Below are 13,493 nucleotides of genomic sequence, written 5' to 3' on the forward strand. Positions count from 1 at the left end.
AGTTTATTTGGTTTACAGTCTTTCTCAGATTTTTTTCAAGAACTTTTAATTATAAAATATTGGGTAGTTGAATATTGGTTACTTTTAAAAATCTTCTTAACCCTTTCCTGTTTCTTTTTCAGATATGAGGCCCCAGGATTCCTGGCGAGGTCCTCCTCCCCTTTTCCAGCAGCAAAGGTTTGACAGGTAATATTAAAAGTAGACATGACTTTTAAATACTTTCTGACACCAACATTTGGGGTTTATGGTTTTTATGGAAGCTAAAACCTCTGTGGTTTGAAATGTACTTTTTCCCACCAAAAACAATTTCCCTTGTGCCTATCCTTTAAGAAAATATATAGCTAATACTTTGAATTAAAAGACTCATGTTTAATATACTTTCTTACTTTTCTTGGTTCTTGGCCTTTATTTTATTGATGCTTTTGAGATGCCCTGAAAAATGCAACACAGCTTAAAACTGTATTAGGTTTTGGTCAGGCTAAACAAATTTCTTTTTAGAAGGGTTGTGCAGCTTAATGAGGCATAACTAATGGTGTTCCACTTTTATCATTTCTGTGCGGGCAATGCAGCGTTAGTACAGACCAACCATTGATTCTTGCTACAAACCTCTTGAAGTCCTAATCAGCTTCTTTGGTACAACTTTTTCAGGGCTGACAAGCCTATTGTAGGGCAGTGTCACTGTAGGTCAGTAGTTATTAGTTGCCACTGAAAACAGTTTCTTTAACTACTTAAGACTGAACTGAATTAAACGCAGAAGGGACTCAGAAGAGGATTATGGGATCTGCAGTCTAATAAGTACCATGGACTAGGAAGAATGTGACATGGTTTAATAACAAGGGATGTTTAACATGTATTCCTTCATTGATAAGTTGTGTGCTCCTAAGTCCGATGGACTCTGTACGACAAGACAACTAGGCACATTATGAATAATTAACATCTGTAGAATAATTTTTAAAGGCCAGCTTTAAGATGTATCATTTCATGATGGTTTTGCCAACATCAGTAAATGCAAAAACAAATTAAGCCCCATCATAATAAGGCTTTCTTTTTTGCCTTCCCAGTTTTAATCTGTTTTATTCTCTTCTCCTCTGCCATGTTTACAGTCTCTAATCTGTTCACATCTGAAATGAATAGTGTTTTTATAAATGGGATTCTAAATGCAGCTTCCCTTTTAAGAAAACTTTATAACTCTTTAGAGACTCCAGAACTTTATTTCATTGTTATCTTCAAGAGGATAAAAGGAATCATGTTATTCGATGTTTACTAATAGTGTCAACTTAGTGCAAGTCTCATTAAATGCAATACGACTAGCAATGTGTGTATTAATGTTTTGATTTTAGTATATGTTCTGAAAGCACACAGTATGTGCTGTTTCATTTTCCTCAGTACCACAAATTTTAAGCAGAAATTAAGTAAGTAAGGGGTAAATTTTTCCTAAATTATATACTTGGTTTCTCTATCTTATTGCTCACTTTCCATACTAATAATAATGGCAAATGTTTGTCTGCTTACAAAGTGTTAACACTGTGTTAACATCCTTTAATAAGAATGATTTCATTTATTCCTCCTAGCAGTGCATTGAAATAGATGCTGTTATGTTTACATTTTTGCAAATGAAGAAAGTGAGGCACAGAGAAGTTCAGCAGCTTACCTAAGGTCACTCTTTTGTGCCATTCTTTACCAAGAAACTTTTCACTGGAACAAAACTTACCAGAATATTTACTCTGAGCGTAATATAAAGACGTAGGGACTTCAAAGGAAGTAAAGGATCTGTTTCCACTTCTAAGGCCCCAACAGCTTTCCTCCCCTCTGTTCACATTAAAAGTTTTCCTAAGATCATCATCATTGTCCCTTCCCTTACCCTGCTGTCCATCAGGTTTTGTTCTTATTCTACCCTAGCCAAGTACTAGTATTATTCTGACTTTGTGAACCCAGCAGGTTAGTGACAAGTTTTGTGGGAATGTTTTTTGGTTTAGTTTTAGTCAGATACTTAAAATTATGCCTGAAAGCAAAAGGTAAATGTGAGCATAATAGAGTTCTATCATAAAAGTCTTACATCACAGACATTTAAGAAAGATACCATTTTGTTCCAGAACCAGGTTTTACCAGTTCTTAGTTCAGTATGTTTCCACGACGCTACTGTTTGTTGAGAATCCTATTAAGAGAATTTTGAGTGTCTTTTTTTTATTACATTGCATTTCTTGAATAATTTCCTACTTTAAGATGGTATGTATAATCCATATATCCAGTAGATTTAAAAATACAACAGGAACATCCTCCCAACACAGACACAGCCTAGAGTTAATAGATACCCAGCATTGGAGTTCCCTTTGTCACTTGAGTTTTGCCACATTGTTTGGGTTCTTCTTGTCAATGGAGGCCTCTTTTTCAGTCATTTGCAAGGCAGCCATTTAGTTTTTTACCTATGAGTGTTAAGCTCAATCATGAAAAATCTTTTAAATAAAACTCCGATTTTACCATATGCATACATTTAAAATATTCAAATTGGTAGTAGTTCACATCTCCAGTAACTTTCCAAAACAATTTGGAAACTTAAAAAAATTGTTGCTATCTACGATGCCAAATGGCTCAAATAAGTTGCCTTATTTATTAACTTCTTTTATTGATTTATTGATTGAGACAAGGTCTCACTCTGTCACCCAGGCTGGAGTGTAATGTCATGATCTTGGCTCACTGCAGCTTCTGCCATCCAGGTTCAAGTGATTCTGATGCTTCAGCCTTCCAAGTAGCTGGGACTACAGGCTCCCACACCACCATGCCTGGCTGATTTTTGTATTTTTAGTAGAGACGGGGTTTTCCCATGTTGCCTAGGCTGGTCTCAAACTCCTGGGCTGAAGTGATCTGCCTGCCTCGGCCTCCTGGAGTGCCGGGATTACAGGCTGAGTTACTGTGCCTGGCCTAATTGCTAATTTTTAGAATTTAGGATATGTCAGTTTCTGTGCTTCTATCCCAGATTTTAAAACATAATTTCCTAGGCAAATTTTTAGTTTTGTAAGTATTTGCAAAATATATAATTAGTCTAGACATGTGATAAACTTGTTGAAAATAAAGGCCTTTCTGTCATAAAAGTCAGAAGAAGGTAGTACATGACATCCTTGCTTTGTTCTTCTGTTTAATTTTAATTATTGATGATTTTTTTCATAAAAATTATATTTGTCAAAAACATTATAAGTAATCAATTCAAACAAAAAGAACTTTGCGTTTTTAAACTGTGGCTTTGTTCTTAACCTGTTTTTGGAACATAAAATAGTTTTGAATTGCATTTATAATGTATATTATTTATGCCAGCAGATCTTCCTAAAACTCAATTGAATTTTATTATTGTAAGACTCAAAAGAAAAACTGATCACAGTTAAGATGTGAATTGTGTTTTTAGCCCGTGGGTTTTGCATTAATTGGCCCAGTTTTGATGAGACTTTGGTTACAGCACAAACCTTAGTTTAGCCCTTCACTCCTGCAGAGACTGGAAGAGACCATTCCTATCTCTGCACACGGAGCTCTTCTTGCTAAAACAGATGGAGGCATTCTTGCTAAAATATATTTGTGCTAGTAATTGTCCTGAAAAATAATTAAAAGCCCTAGCCATATGCATTTTCTTTCTGAGATAAAAACTTATTTTTAATTGTATTCTGAATTACTTATAACACATTGTTATTAGAGCTCTGGTTTCAGCTACCAACTGTAAAGAAAAACTTTAGCCTTTCTAGAGTTCTTTAGAGAGCAGTTCATTTCTTCGAATCATCACACAAAAATAATTATCTCTGGTGTTGTTTTAATAAAAAGAAGGCAAGCTCCAAGTGAAGGGAGGAGAGTGGGGGTAGAGAGGATGGATTCAGGCTTGAATAGCTGTGAGAAGAATGCTTTACCCAATGAGCCCAGCGCCGGGCTTTTTTCCCCTAAGACCTCGGAAGTGAAATTCTTATGCTGATATGGTTATAACTGATTACCAGCTAGTCAGCACTTCAGTGAATTTAAAGTTTTATTGAATTCCTCCTAACATGGTCAGTGGCCCCAAAGCTTCTGATGTTCAAGTATACTGGAGCATTTGCCTCTGTTTATTCTTTGTAGTGCCTTCCATAAAATAGAAGTTATGGAAAGTGCCTTAAGGAGAAAGTAAAGTCTTAAATGGTGATTGCCTTTAGAAGGTATATCCTTGCTACATTGTTTATGTGACAGTTTTTAATTAAGTTATGATTTAGTACATTATACCTGTTGCTTTGCATCTGCAAAGTTAAAATAGTCACTTGAAGACAATTAAAACATTTCTTTCGACTAGTAATCTGCGACAGCAAACTGGGTTATAATAGCCGTTGAATCTGTGTTCCCATGTAAACTGTACACCAAATGCCAGTCAGCCCATGCCAATTAGTGCTCATGTTGCTAGGTCACCGTGGTCAATTGAAAGCTGCATCAATAGAACTTGAAAAGGTTTCCTCCCAATCAGACCTTCTGACATATTGAACAGAATAATGGATGGGAAAAAACAGCCAAGTCTCCTACCCTGGATTCAAAATACTCAGCAGTAAGAATTCATTTGCAACCTGCAATTAAGTAGAAAGAATGGATCCAAGAACGAGTCTGGACATTTTTGAAAATAAAGCCTCATTCTCCTGTCTTGTACATGTTTACTCTTTGGATAGCATCTTAAATGTAGCCATCTTGGTGATCTTGGGTCTACATCTTTAAGTGACTAAAAAGGAAATTTCCCAATTGAAAATGAACAAAATAACTTTTAAAAGTCAGAACTTCTCAGTTGAGTTTAAACATCCATTGTAATAAATGCTGATGCTTCATGAAACATGTTAGATTATACTGGATATAAGGGACACAAAGGCCATTCTGATACTCTGTATCCCATATGATAAATCCAGGTAAATTGGATTGTACTAAAATTTGGAGATGATACCTGCCGATTTTAGGCTTTGTGCTGTATAATAGGTGTGGCTTCTGATGTAAAACTGGTACTTTCCTACAGAGGCGTTGGGGCTGAACCTCTGCTCCCATGGAACCGGATGCTGCAAACCCAGAATGCAGCCTTCCAGCCAAACCAGTACCAGATGCTAGCTGGGCCTGGTGGGTATCCACCCAGACGAGATGATCGTGGAGGGAGACAGGTAAATGGTTGTGGGATGAAAAGTATACTGCTCACTTTATATTTCAACAAGCCTCACAGGACTCCGTATTTTCTTACCAACATTTCTGGAGAAGACACTGATAGAGTAGCTTAGAGTAGCTTGGCTGAACTTGGGTCTGTCATTAAAAATGTATATGGGTTGAGTACCTGCTTCACTAAATAGGTTATATACCTTGAAGATGCCAAAGAATTTCTAACCCAAAAGCCCTTTAAATCATAGCAGTCAGTGATAATTAGTCCAAGTATAGTCAGTCACCAAAACACATTGTTTTTCCTTTAAGGATATTGTTCTTCAATAGAACCTAGATCCCTCTTAATGGGTGATGATTTTCTGGAAGCTGGAAAGTAAGTCTGCTTTTTCAGCTGTTGTCTTTTAGAAGTCATTTTACAATGTTGTCATTTTAGAAGTCTCCTGCCTTGATTCATCTGATATCCCTCCTCATAAAAGAAATTTCTGCTTGATAATCTTCCACATATTTTTCTTCTCAATGTAAGCAGCTGTATCACTGAATGACTATCATAATTCCTAGACAAATTTAGTATATGTAAGCTTCATGTCCTTCTCTTTACAGCATCCAGTTTTAGCAGCATTTAAGACTGAGGTCTATTTGACATAATTTCCTCCAGCAATTTGACACCCTGGCCAGTATTTACATGCTCTTAATGGAATCCTTACTAGAGAACAAGATTAGAATGCTGTGATTCAGAGTAATGTGTATGGAGTTTGGCACCTGCAGTGATGTGAAGTGGTTTTTAAATTGCTTACCTGGTGTTGCCTCCAGGCCTTTTGCAGTGCTTCACATATTAATTAGTAAGACCTCTCTTCTCACAGCTAAGGAACATATTTTGTATGTTTTTTGATGTATTCTTACAAGTATCTCCACCTTACAAGAAGATAATCACCTTAATTGCAAATAATTTCTTCTGAGATTTTGTTACAGTTTATTTGAATCAGTTTATCGAATTTTGCTTTGAATTCTTTCAGCCCAGGACCTCTAAAAATCGTGTCAGTGAACTAAGGCTCTTTATGTTACTATGGTTAGATGGCACTAGGCCGTTTCAGTGATGAGCATTTTTGAAGTGAGGACTATTTGTAACTGGAAGAAACCTTGGAGAATGTGTAGTCTAGTCACCTCATTTTCCAAGTCAGGAACTGAAACCCTGAAAACCCCACACGGTTCAGCAGGAGAACTGGTAGCTGGCTGCCTAGACTGCTGACCCCAGTTCATCCATTTTCCTCTCTCCTTTGGAGATCTTCCTTTTAAAGGAACTCTGTGCTGTTACAGGAGGTAAAATTCTTATTTACTTAGAAGATATAAACCAATTGGTAAATTTATTATTCTTTTAGGACTTTTTGAAAATAACATTTCTTCTTTCTCAGTCCCTTTGCCAGGGAGATACTTTTTATTAAATCACAATTGTTGAAGCACTATTAAATTGCAGAAGTTTGTTGTTAAAAACATAGAATCATTACTTCATTGTATTTTTAGTAAAGTTTTATATGACCAAACAAGGCCTTAGCCTGCATTCTGGCCTTGAGTCTGCACATGTTCATGTTTAAAGTACTGAAGTGCTCTCTGGGTGGCAAAATGAGGTGGGAGGGGGTTCCATTTCAAAACCCTAGAGGCCTAGGAAAGGACTTATAATGAAGAGGTGTCAGGTTTATCTTTTGTTATACAGAAATGTTATTTGCAAACATACTAGGATATGTTATAAAGGTCACGGCTAATGGATTGTGTAATAACCTTAATATGTCATTTAAAGCCCTACTATTTGTTGCTAAATAAAAAATCCCTAAAATCAATTGCTCATTTGGCCTTAACTGACTTAGCAAGCTCTTGCCTTGGTTAAAGCAAAGTTACTTTCCTTGTGTAATAAGTCTAAATTGATGTGGGTATCTTACCACAAAGTGACTTGAATTACTACTGCTAGGACAGTGAGAAAATTGAGAACCACTGTCTGTACATGTTGTTTACACAGAACACTTTAGTTATTTGTGTGCATTTGTGATTGTTAAGGTTTTTTGTTTTATTTTTCAGTAATAGCATTTGTGCTAGCCTCCAACTTTGCAACAAGTCTGTATTAAAGCTCTGGATCAAAGCACCTTTTATGGGGCCTTTCCATGTGCTGTACCTTTAACACATACTCAGTTTCCTTATGATGTGTTTTTCCATAGAGGTTTAAAGTTAACTGACTTGCAGGAGTATCGGTCCAGAAAATAAACTCTTTCTTTTGTTTATTTTCAGGGATATCCCAGAGAAGGAAGGAAATACCCTTTGCCACCACCCTCAGGAAGATACAATTGGAATTAAGCTTTTGTAAAGCTTTCCCAAATCCTTTCATCATTCTACAGTTTTATGCTATTTGTGGAAAGATTTCTTTCTCAAGTAGTAGTTTTTAATAAAACTACAGTACTTTGTGTATTTCTTTTAACTGTGTATATTTCTACTGATCTGATCTCACTGTTTATGTTGCTTTCCAAAGATGTATGTTGCATAATACAGTGGATCTGAATTTATTATTGCTTATAAAACACATTTGATGGAATAGGAGTACTGGTTTTTCATAATGGTTAAAAATGAAACCAGCTGTGGATTTCAAAACACAGTGTATTCTAGATCATCTAAGATCCATGCTGATTTTTATTGCACAAGAATTAGGTTTGAACTCGAGCTGGAACCTCAGCAAACTAGAGTATATATTGTTCAGTATTTCTTTGGAAACATTTCATTAATGTACTTGTCTTACAGAAATTTCTGAACTTTAGTAAAAAAAAATAAAGTTAAACTTTTAAAACTCTGTTTTGTGTTGTTATTTTGCAGTATTTCAACTTTGAAAATCTTGACCAAGCGTGGTTTTTTAAAATTAACTTTTGCAGAAAACTATTTCTGTAATCAGATGTCCAAACCAAAGGACAAAGAAGTCAATGAAGAAGTAGATTTTAAAAGATAGGGTCAGCAAGACATAACAAAAGCTTTAACTTTGTTGTATTATGTCAGTGACTGATCTGGCTAACTCAGAAATCTTTGTGAGATAAATTACATTTTTACAAATTTAATGTAGACTTCTCCAGTTTTAAGGACTTGTTTTAAATCTTCAAGTTGACAATTTTAATTAATGGCCAAATAGTCTATGCTCCTTAGCATATTTTTGTATGTCATTAGATTGCAATTTGTACTCATGTTTTTCCTTGCTACTAAGTACACTATAAATTGCTTAAATGTGTGTTTGGAGTTCACATACAGCACTTACATATGCATTTTCATTTGATTGCCAAAACATATTTAGACACACATACAGAGACTATTGCTTTGTTTCAGTTTTTCCCTCCTAGCCCAAGATTGTGAGGTAAAGCTTCTCTTTGACCTCCTGACTTAGGATATTTTTGCTTTAATATTCAACTGAAGCACGCTTGTTAAACTTAGTCTGTGGGAAAAAAAAAAATCTCACCTCAACCTTGAATAGGAAGGTATTTTGTAGCTATTGAGTTCATTGCTAATGATGGGTGACCAGAGCAGGATCCTTTATTGTTGAGACAAAGAGTCTCTCCATCAGGAATTACCAACCCAACCCTTACATAATTGCCTTCGCTCAACATTCAAGTGATAATGCCTTCTATTAAATTTCTCTGTAAGTTTATCTCCCAAATATTAAAAATGTAGACAGCCATCTCAGTAAAGCATTGCATATTCTAAAGGAGCTTATAAATGTTTTACTGTTTATAGTTCATAGTCAAAACCCACAATTCCACTCTTTATATTCTCAGACCTTTAGTTTTGGCTTAGTTTTAAGCTGGCCTGAGACTGACTCAGTTTTTGACTGAATGTTTAAAGCACTGTTTGGAAGACATCTGAGCAAAAGGCCTGATGGAGAAACTGATGACGGCAGATTTCCTCTGCAGAACTGGCAGGTGTTCCCTCGCTGAGCCGGCTTCAGGCCCTGCTCCGTGACCTCACCCTTGCTTCTTCCTCTCCATCCTTAGTCTTCATCTCTTTCCAACTTGGTTCCGCGTTTGAATCTTCCAGGAAAATGCCCTGCCCATTTCAATCAGCAAAATGCTTTTCAGAGCTTTAATGTTTAAAGCTGTAAATATCTCCTCCAAATTCTGATGTAAAAATAAATTCGTTGGGCCAATTTTAAGTAGTTACTTGTACGCAATTATATTCTCTTTAAACGGCACATTTTTTCAGGGTCTCCTGTTAAACAAAATCTTAGAACCTGGAAACAGCCTGACTACTCTGGGGCTAAGGGCCCGTAATGAGCAGTTGTCTTCCCTTTAAAGATCAAATGGGGTAATGTATGTTAATGTACAAAGCCGTCTACAAACTGGTATTAGATTGCCATTTAGCGTTACAAAGGCAAATTGGGTGTAATGAGCGATAGGTTAATTTTCGTACGATGACGTGGGATGCCAGGAACGGGCCGGGTGAGGCCGGGGTCCCTGCACTCCTTTGCTGGGCGCGCCTGGACCGAACTGAAGGGCCCGGGCGCCGCGACCTCGCAGCCGGGGGCGGGATGGTGGCGGCGCCCGGGCCCCGCGTGCTACTCAGAGCTCAGGTCCTAGGTGCTTGGCTCAACTTTCTCCCAGCGGGGTCGGGAAGCGCCAGGCCCTCGGTGCACGTGGGGCACGCGCCCGGCGCCTGGGTCTCCCCTGCGGCTCGCTAGTCGCCCGGCCCAGCCCGCAGACCCCGCGGCTGGCCCTCCCGGGAGCCCCGCGAGCCGGCCGCACGCACAGGATGGGCGCGGAAAGCCCCTTCCTCTACCCTCGGGCGCACCCTCCTTCCTCGTCCGCGGCGCCGCAGCTTCTCAACCTGCCGCTGCATCTCAACTCCCTGCAAGCAGCAGAGCTGTAGAATACCAGAAATGGTCTTCCTTCCGAGGCTGCCGTTTTAAGTTCCAAGTGTGAAAGTAACCGAATTTTGCTATGCTTAGAAATCTAAAATCTGGACATTCCCTGAAGAGTCAACTTAGAGTCCCCAGTTTCTCGATCTGGCTCCGTCCCACTGACTGACGCCTCCTGCCCACCCCGAAAGGATCCTGGAGCTGCGATCTCGCCAGACTCTATTCCTGGTGATCCACTGCTCTGCTATTTCCCATCAGGAAAAAGTCACCAAACGAATGAACTAGCAAACGGCCCATTCTCGATGGATTTCTCCTCCACTCAGTAAAGCAGAATCCTCCTGTGGCTTGTTTCTCCACGCCTTATTTATGGAATGAGGGCCAAAAGAGAACAGGCTTGAATTGATGTGTATGAAATAGGAATATAGCTGTTCACTACTGCAAAATAGTTTGCACAACTTAAATTTAGGCAATGTTCCTAGTTCCTAGTTAAACTTTTTTAGAAGTCACCTAAACAATTACTGAAGGTTACATGGAATTTCAAAAAACGAAAGGCATTTCATTCAATTGCAAGTAAACATTCTAAAGCAAAAACAAAACCAAACCCACCTCTCCCAGAAACTTCCATTACCTCTAAAGTTAAAAATAATAAAAACAAAAGTGATCCTGAAATCACAAAGTTATCTCAATACTTACTGGAGAGCGCAAATTCCTGATGGGATGTGAATGCAGTTCCCCAGTCTAGGCATCTTCTTTGAAACTTCCCCAGATGTTCACCAAATCTCACTAGTAGTGAAAGGGTATTTATATTTTTAAAAATGTATCATCGTTCTCTGTCTCACTGGGTTGCAGGATAATAATAGTGTTTCAAAAAACTGTACTCAAATAATTAACATACAGGGTTTCATCCACACATTAGTGTTATGGTAAGCAGTGAGGGAGTATTATCCATGCTTTGAACTGTGTCTGCAATTTGTGTTGCCATCACATAATGCATTATTTTCTCTTCAGCACAAATTCACATCTAAAAATCCAATTGATAGGTCTTTATATAATTATGGCTCACAAATTTATTCTAAAAAGTCTTTTAAAATCATCAGTATTCAATGGAGTTAACAAAGCAAGTCTATGGAAGATGCTTGCATTTAGTGAACAGGATTGAGTCTCTGATTTGCTTTAAATTGAAAGTAAACAGTCGCTAGCCGAATGGAGATTGAACACAACATCTGTGTTGATAGAAGTCTGACTACTTGTTCTGACCATTAGGTTTTAGTTCTAGGCAAAGACTTAAATAGAAGACAACTGGGTTACACCCCCATCCTTCCATATACAAAACACCCTTCTTGTGTCCTTCAAAACTGCACACACTCGCACACACAGCACTTCAATATACATCCCAACACAGATTACAGAAAAGTACCTGCAATCCCTCCGTTCCTCTCTGCAACTTTGACTCTGGCTTTTGGTTTCCGTGCCTCAATTGGAAAAGGTAAGTTAGATTGTTGTAAAACCCAAAAACATTTAGGAAAAGGTCACATCTGCTGAGTAAGCATTTTTGAAACAGGTTTGCTGTGGCCTCTGCCAAACTTTGAGGGGCCTTTGTTCCACTCAGACCCTGCGCCAGTCCTCCCTCTCAGTTGTGGAGACACTTATCCTCCTCTTCAGTTAATGAGTTTCACCTAGTCTGGCCATTTGTATTTTTATAAAAGATCTGCAAAGCACTAATTGCAAAAAGAAGAAAACAGCTCGTTTTGCATTAATCAGAAGGTGGGATTCTATGGTAAAAACATTTCTATTTTAAGCTTCAAGAATCAAACCTTTCCCTAATTTCAGGATATGCACACATACAGTCAGTCAGTCTCTGGGTATAGAATGTTAAGCCCTTTGCAGCAATTATTTCTGGCTTGGGGTTTTTTACTCTTTAAAGGAATGCTGAAAGGAATAAGATATGCCCACACAAAATACACTTCCAGAAAATATTGTATATAAAAGTTGTTTCTTCTTAATGTGACATATTTCTTAAAGAAAGTGCACTTCTTCAGTCTAAAGGATTTTGTTCCAGAAATAAACTGTTCATGAAGACTCATTTTCTTTAAATATGTTACCCGGAGCCCTTGGACTATAAGCTATTATTGTTTTTGTAGGTATTGGACTGTAACAAAAAACACTGCCAACCATGTGGGCTTTTAGAACGTTTTCTAGAAGTAAAATTTCAGAATTATGGTACTATTGTGAGGAAATCAAACTAATATAAACAAACATTTTGAAATTTGGCACATCAATAATAGATTTGCTAGCTTAGTTAACATTTCTAAAGTCATTTCCATTAATATGCCAAAAACACCCCAAGTTGAGAGAATTTCCTGTGGGTGTACTGTAGCGTTTTCTTACAAATTTGTCTGCTCAGATTATTTGTTCTTACATAAAATGTTTTAAAAATTAGATCTCATTTTCTAAAAATTCTTTTACGGCCCCTTGATAAAGGGTGATTCCCTTGCTTCTTTAGTGTTTTTTCTCCCTCTGTGAAAGAAACTGGAGTTTTAAAAAATTACTATACAAGAGTCTAGAAAAAGTGCAAGTTTAACTTCTAAAACACCTTCTTATGAATTCAAGTTGCACATTCAGAAAAATGTTCTAACAATGAAGTGAAACACAATGTTTCAGCCCCAAGCTGTAATTCTAAAATCTCAAATGTAGAAGAGGTTTAGGGTCTCCGGTAACTATTTGTTTTGATCATTTGCAAATCATGCTTTATCCATGTTATTTCTTTAATTTTCATTAATTATTTATAAGCACAAATTCGTCAGCTTTTAGTATTTTTAGTCCACTACCAGTCATTTATGAGTAAACTGAGCTGTGTTGTCACATCATGACAATTAGTATTTTAAAAACACATCAAGCCATGTATAAACTTAATGAAAAAGAAATGACCACTTGACTTTTAGAAAAAAGAACTTGTTTCTTTTAAGTTATATTTAAATATCCATTAGAAACATAGGAAATATAAATCGGCATATTAAAGAGTAAATACATTATTTGTACAATAAAACACCAACAAAACCAGTGCAACTCCTAAGTTCTAAATATGGTGGAAAAATTATATTGTAGTTACTTATTCCTTATATCTTGATTACAATTCAATAAATCACCTTTCTTCTTCTTGTCATGCTTTGAATATAGATTAATTGATGTCAATTTTAGAAATTTTACTTGTTTGTTCTAGTACTTTATCAAGGTATTCAAATTCAGACAAGAAAATACCTCAAAGAGAGTAAATACCATGTTTACAGAAGGATAGGGTTATTTATTTTCTCAGTTGATGTTGGGAGACCAGATTTCATATACAAATAGTATACAACCTTTCTTATGGTGAGCTGCATCTTAGGGGGGAAAATCCTCTTTTAGCGTAACATACAAACACTCACTTGCCAAATAATCATCAAAACATTTTGAAATCAGCATTAAATTTAAAAAGCTCCATCAATCCATATAATCAGTA

The 13,493-nt window shown here is 37.0% G+C and overlaps 1 protein-coding gene across 3 annotated transcripts in view; it reads left to right on the forward strand.

Moving 5' to 3' along the window:
• XRN2 (5'-3' exoribonuclease 2) overlaps positions 1–7,954 on the forward strand; it is an 86,495-nt gene extending 78,541 nt beyond the window's left edge. For all 3 annotated transcript variants that reach the window (NM_012255.5, NM_001317960.1, XM_017027723.3), the window contains 3 exons: positions 123–186; positions 4,997–5,135; positions 7,402–7,954. In NM_012255.5, the coding sequence (NP_036387.2) occupies positions 123–186; positions 4,997–5,135; positions 7,402–7,467 (269 nt within the window). In that variant the 3' untranslated portion in view covers positions 7,468–7,954. The remainder of the gene's footprint in view (positions 1–122; positions 187–4,996; positions 5,136–7,401) is intronic.
• The last annotated feature ends 5,539 nt before the right edge of the window (positions 7,955–13,493 follow it).

Source organism: Homo sapiens, chromosome 20 (genome assembly GCF_000001405.40).
Source record: "Homo sapiens chromosome 20, GRCh38.p14 Primary Assembly".
In the NCBI taxonomy this organism is placed as follows: domain Eukaryota; kingdom Metazoa; phylum Chordata; class Mammalia; order Primates; family Hominidae; genus Homo; species Homo sapiens.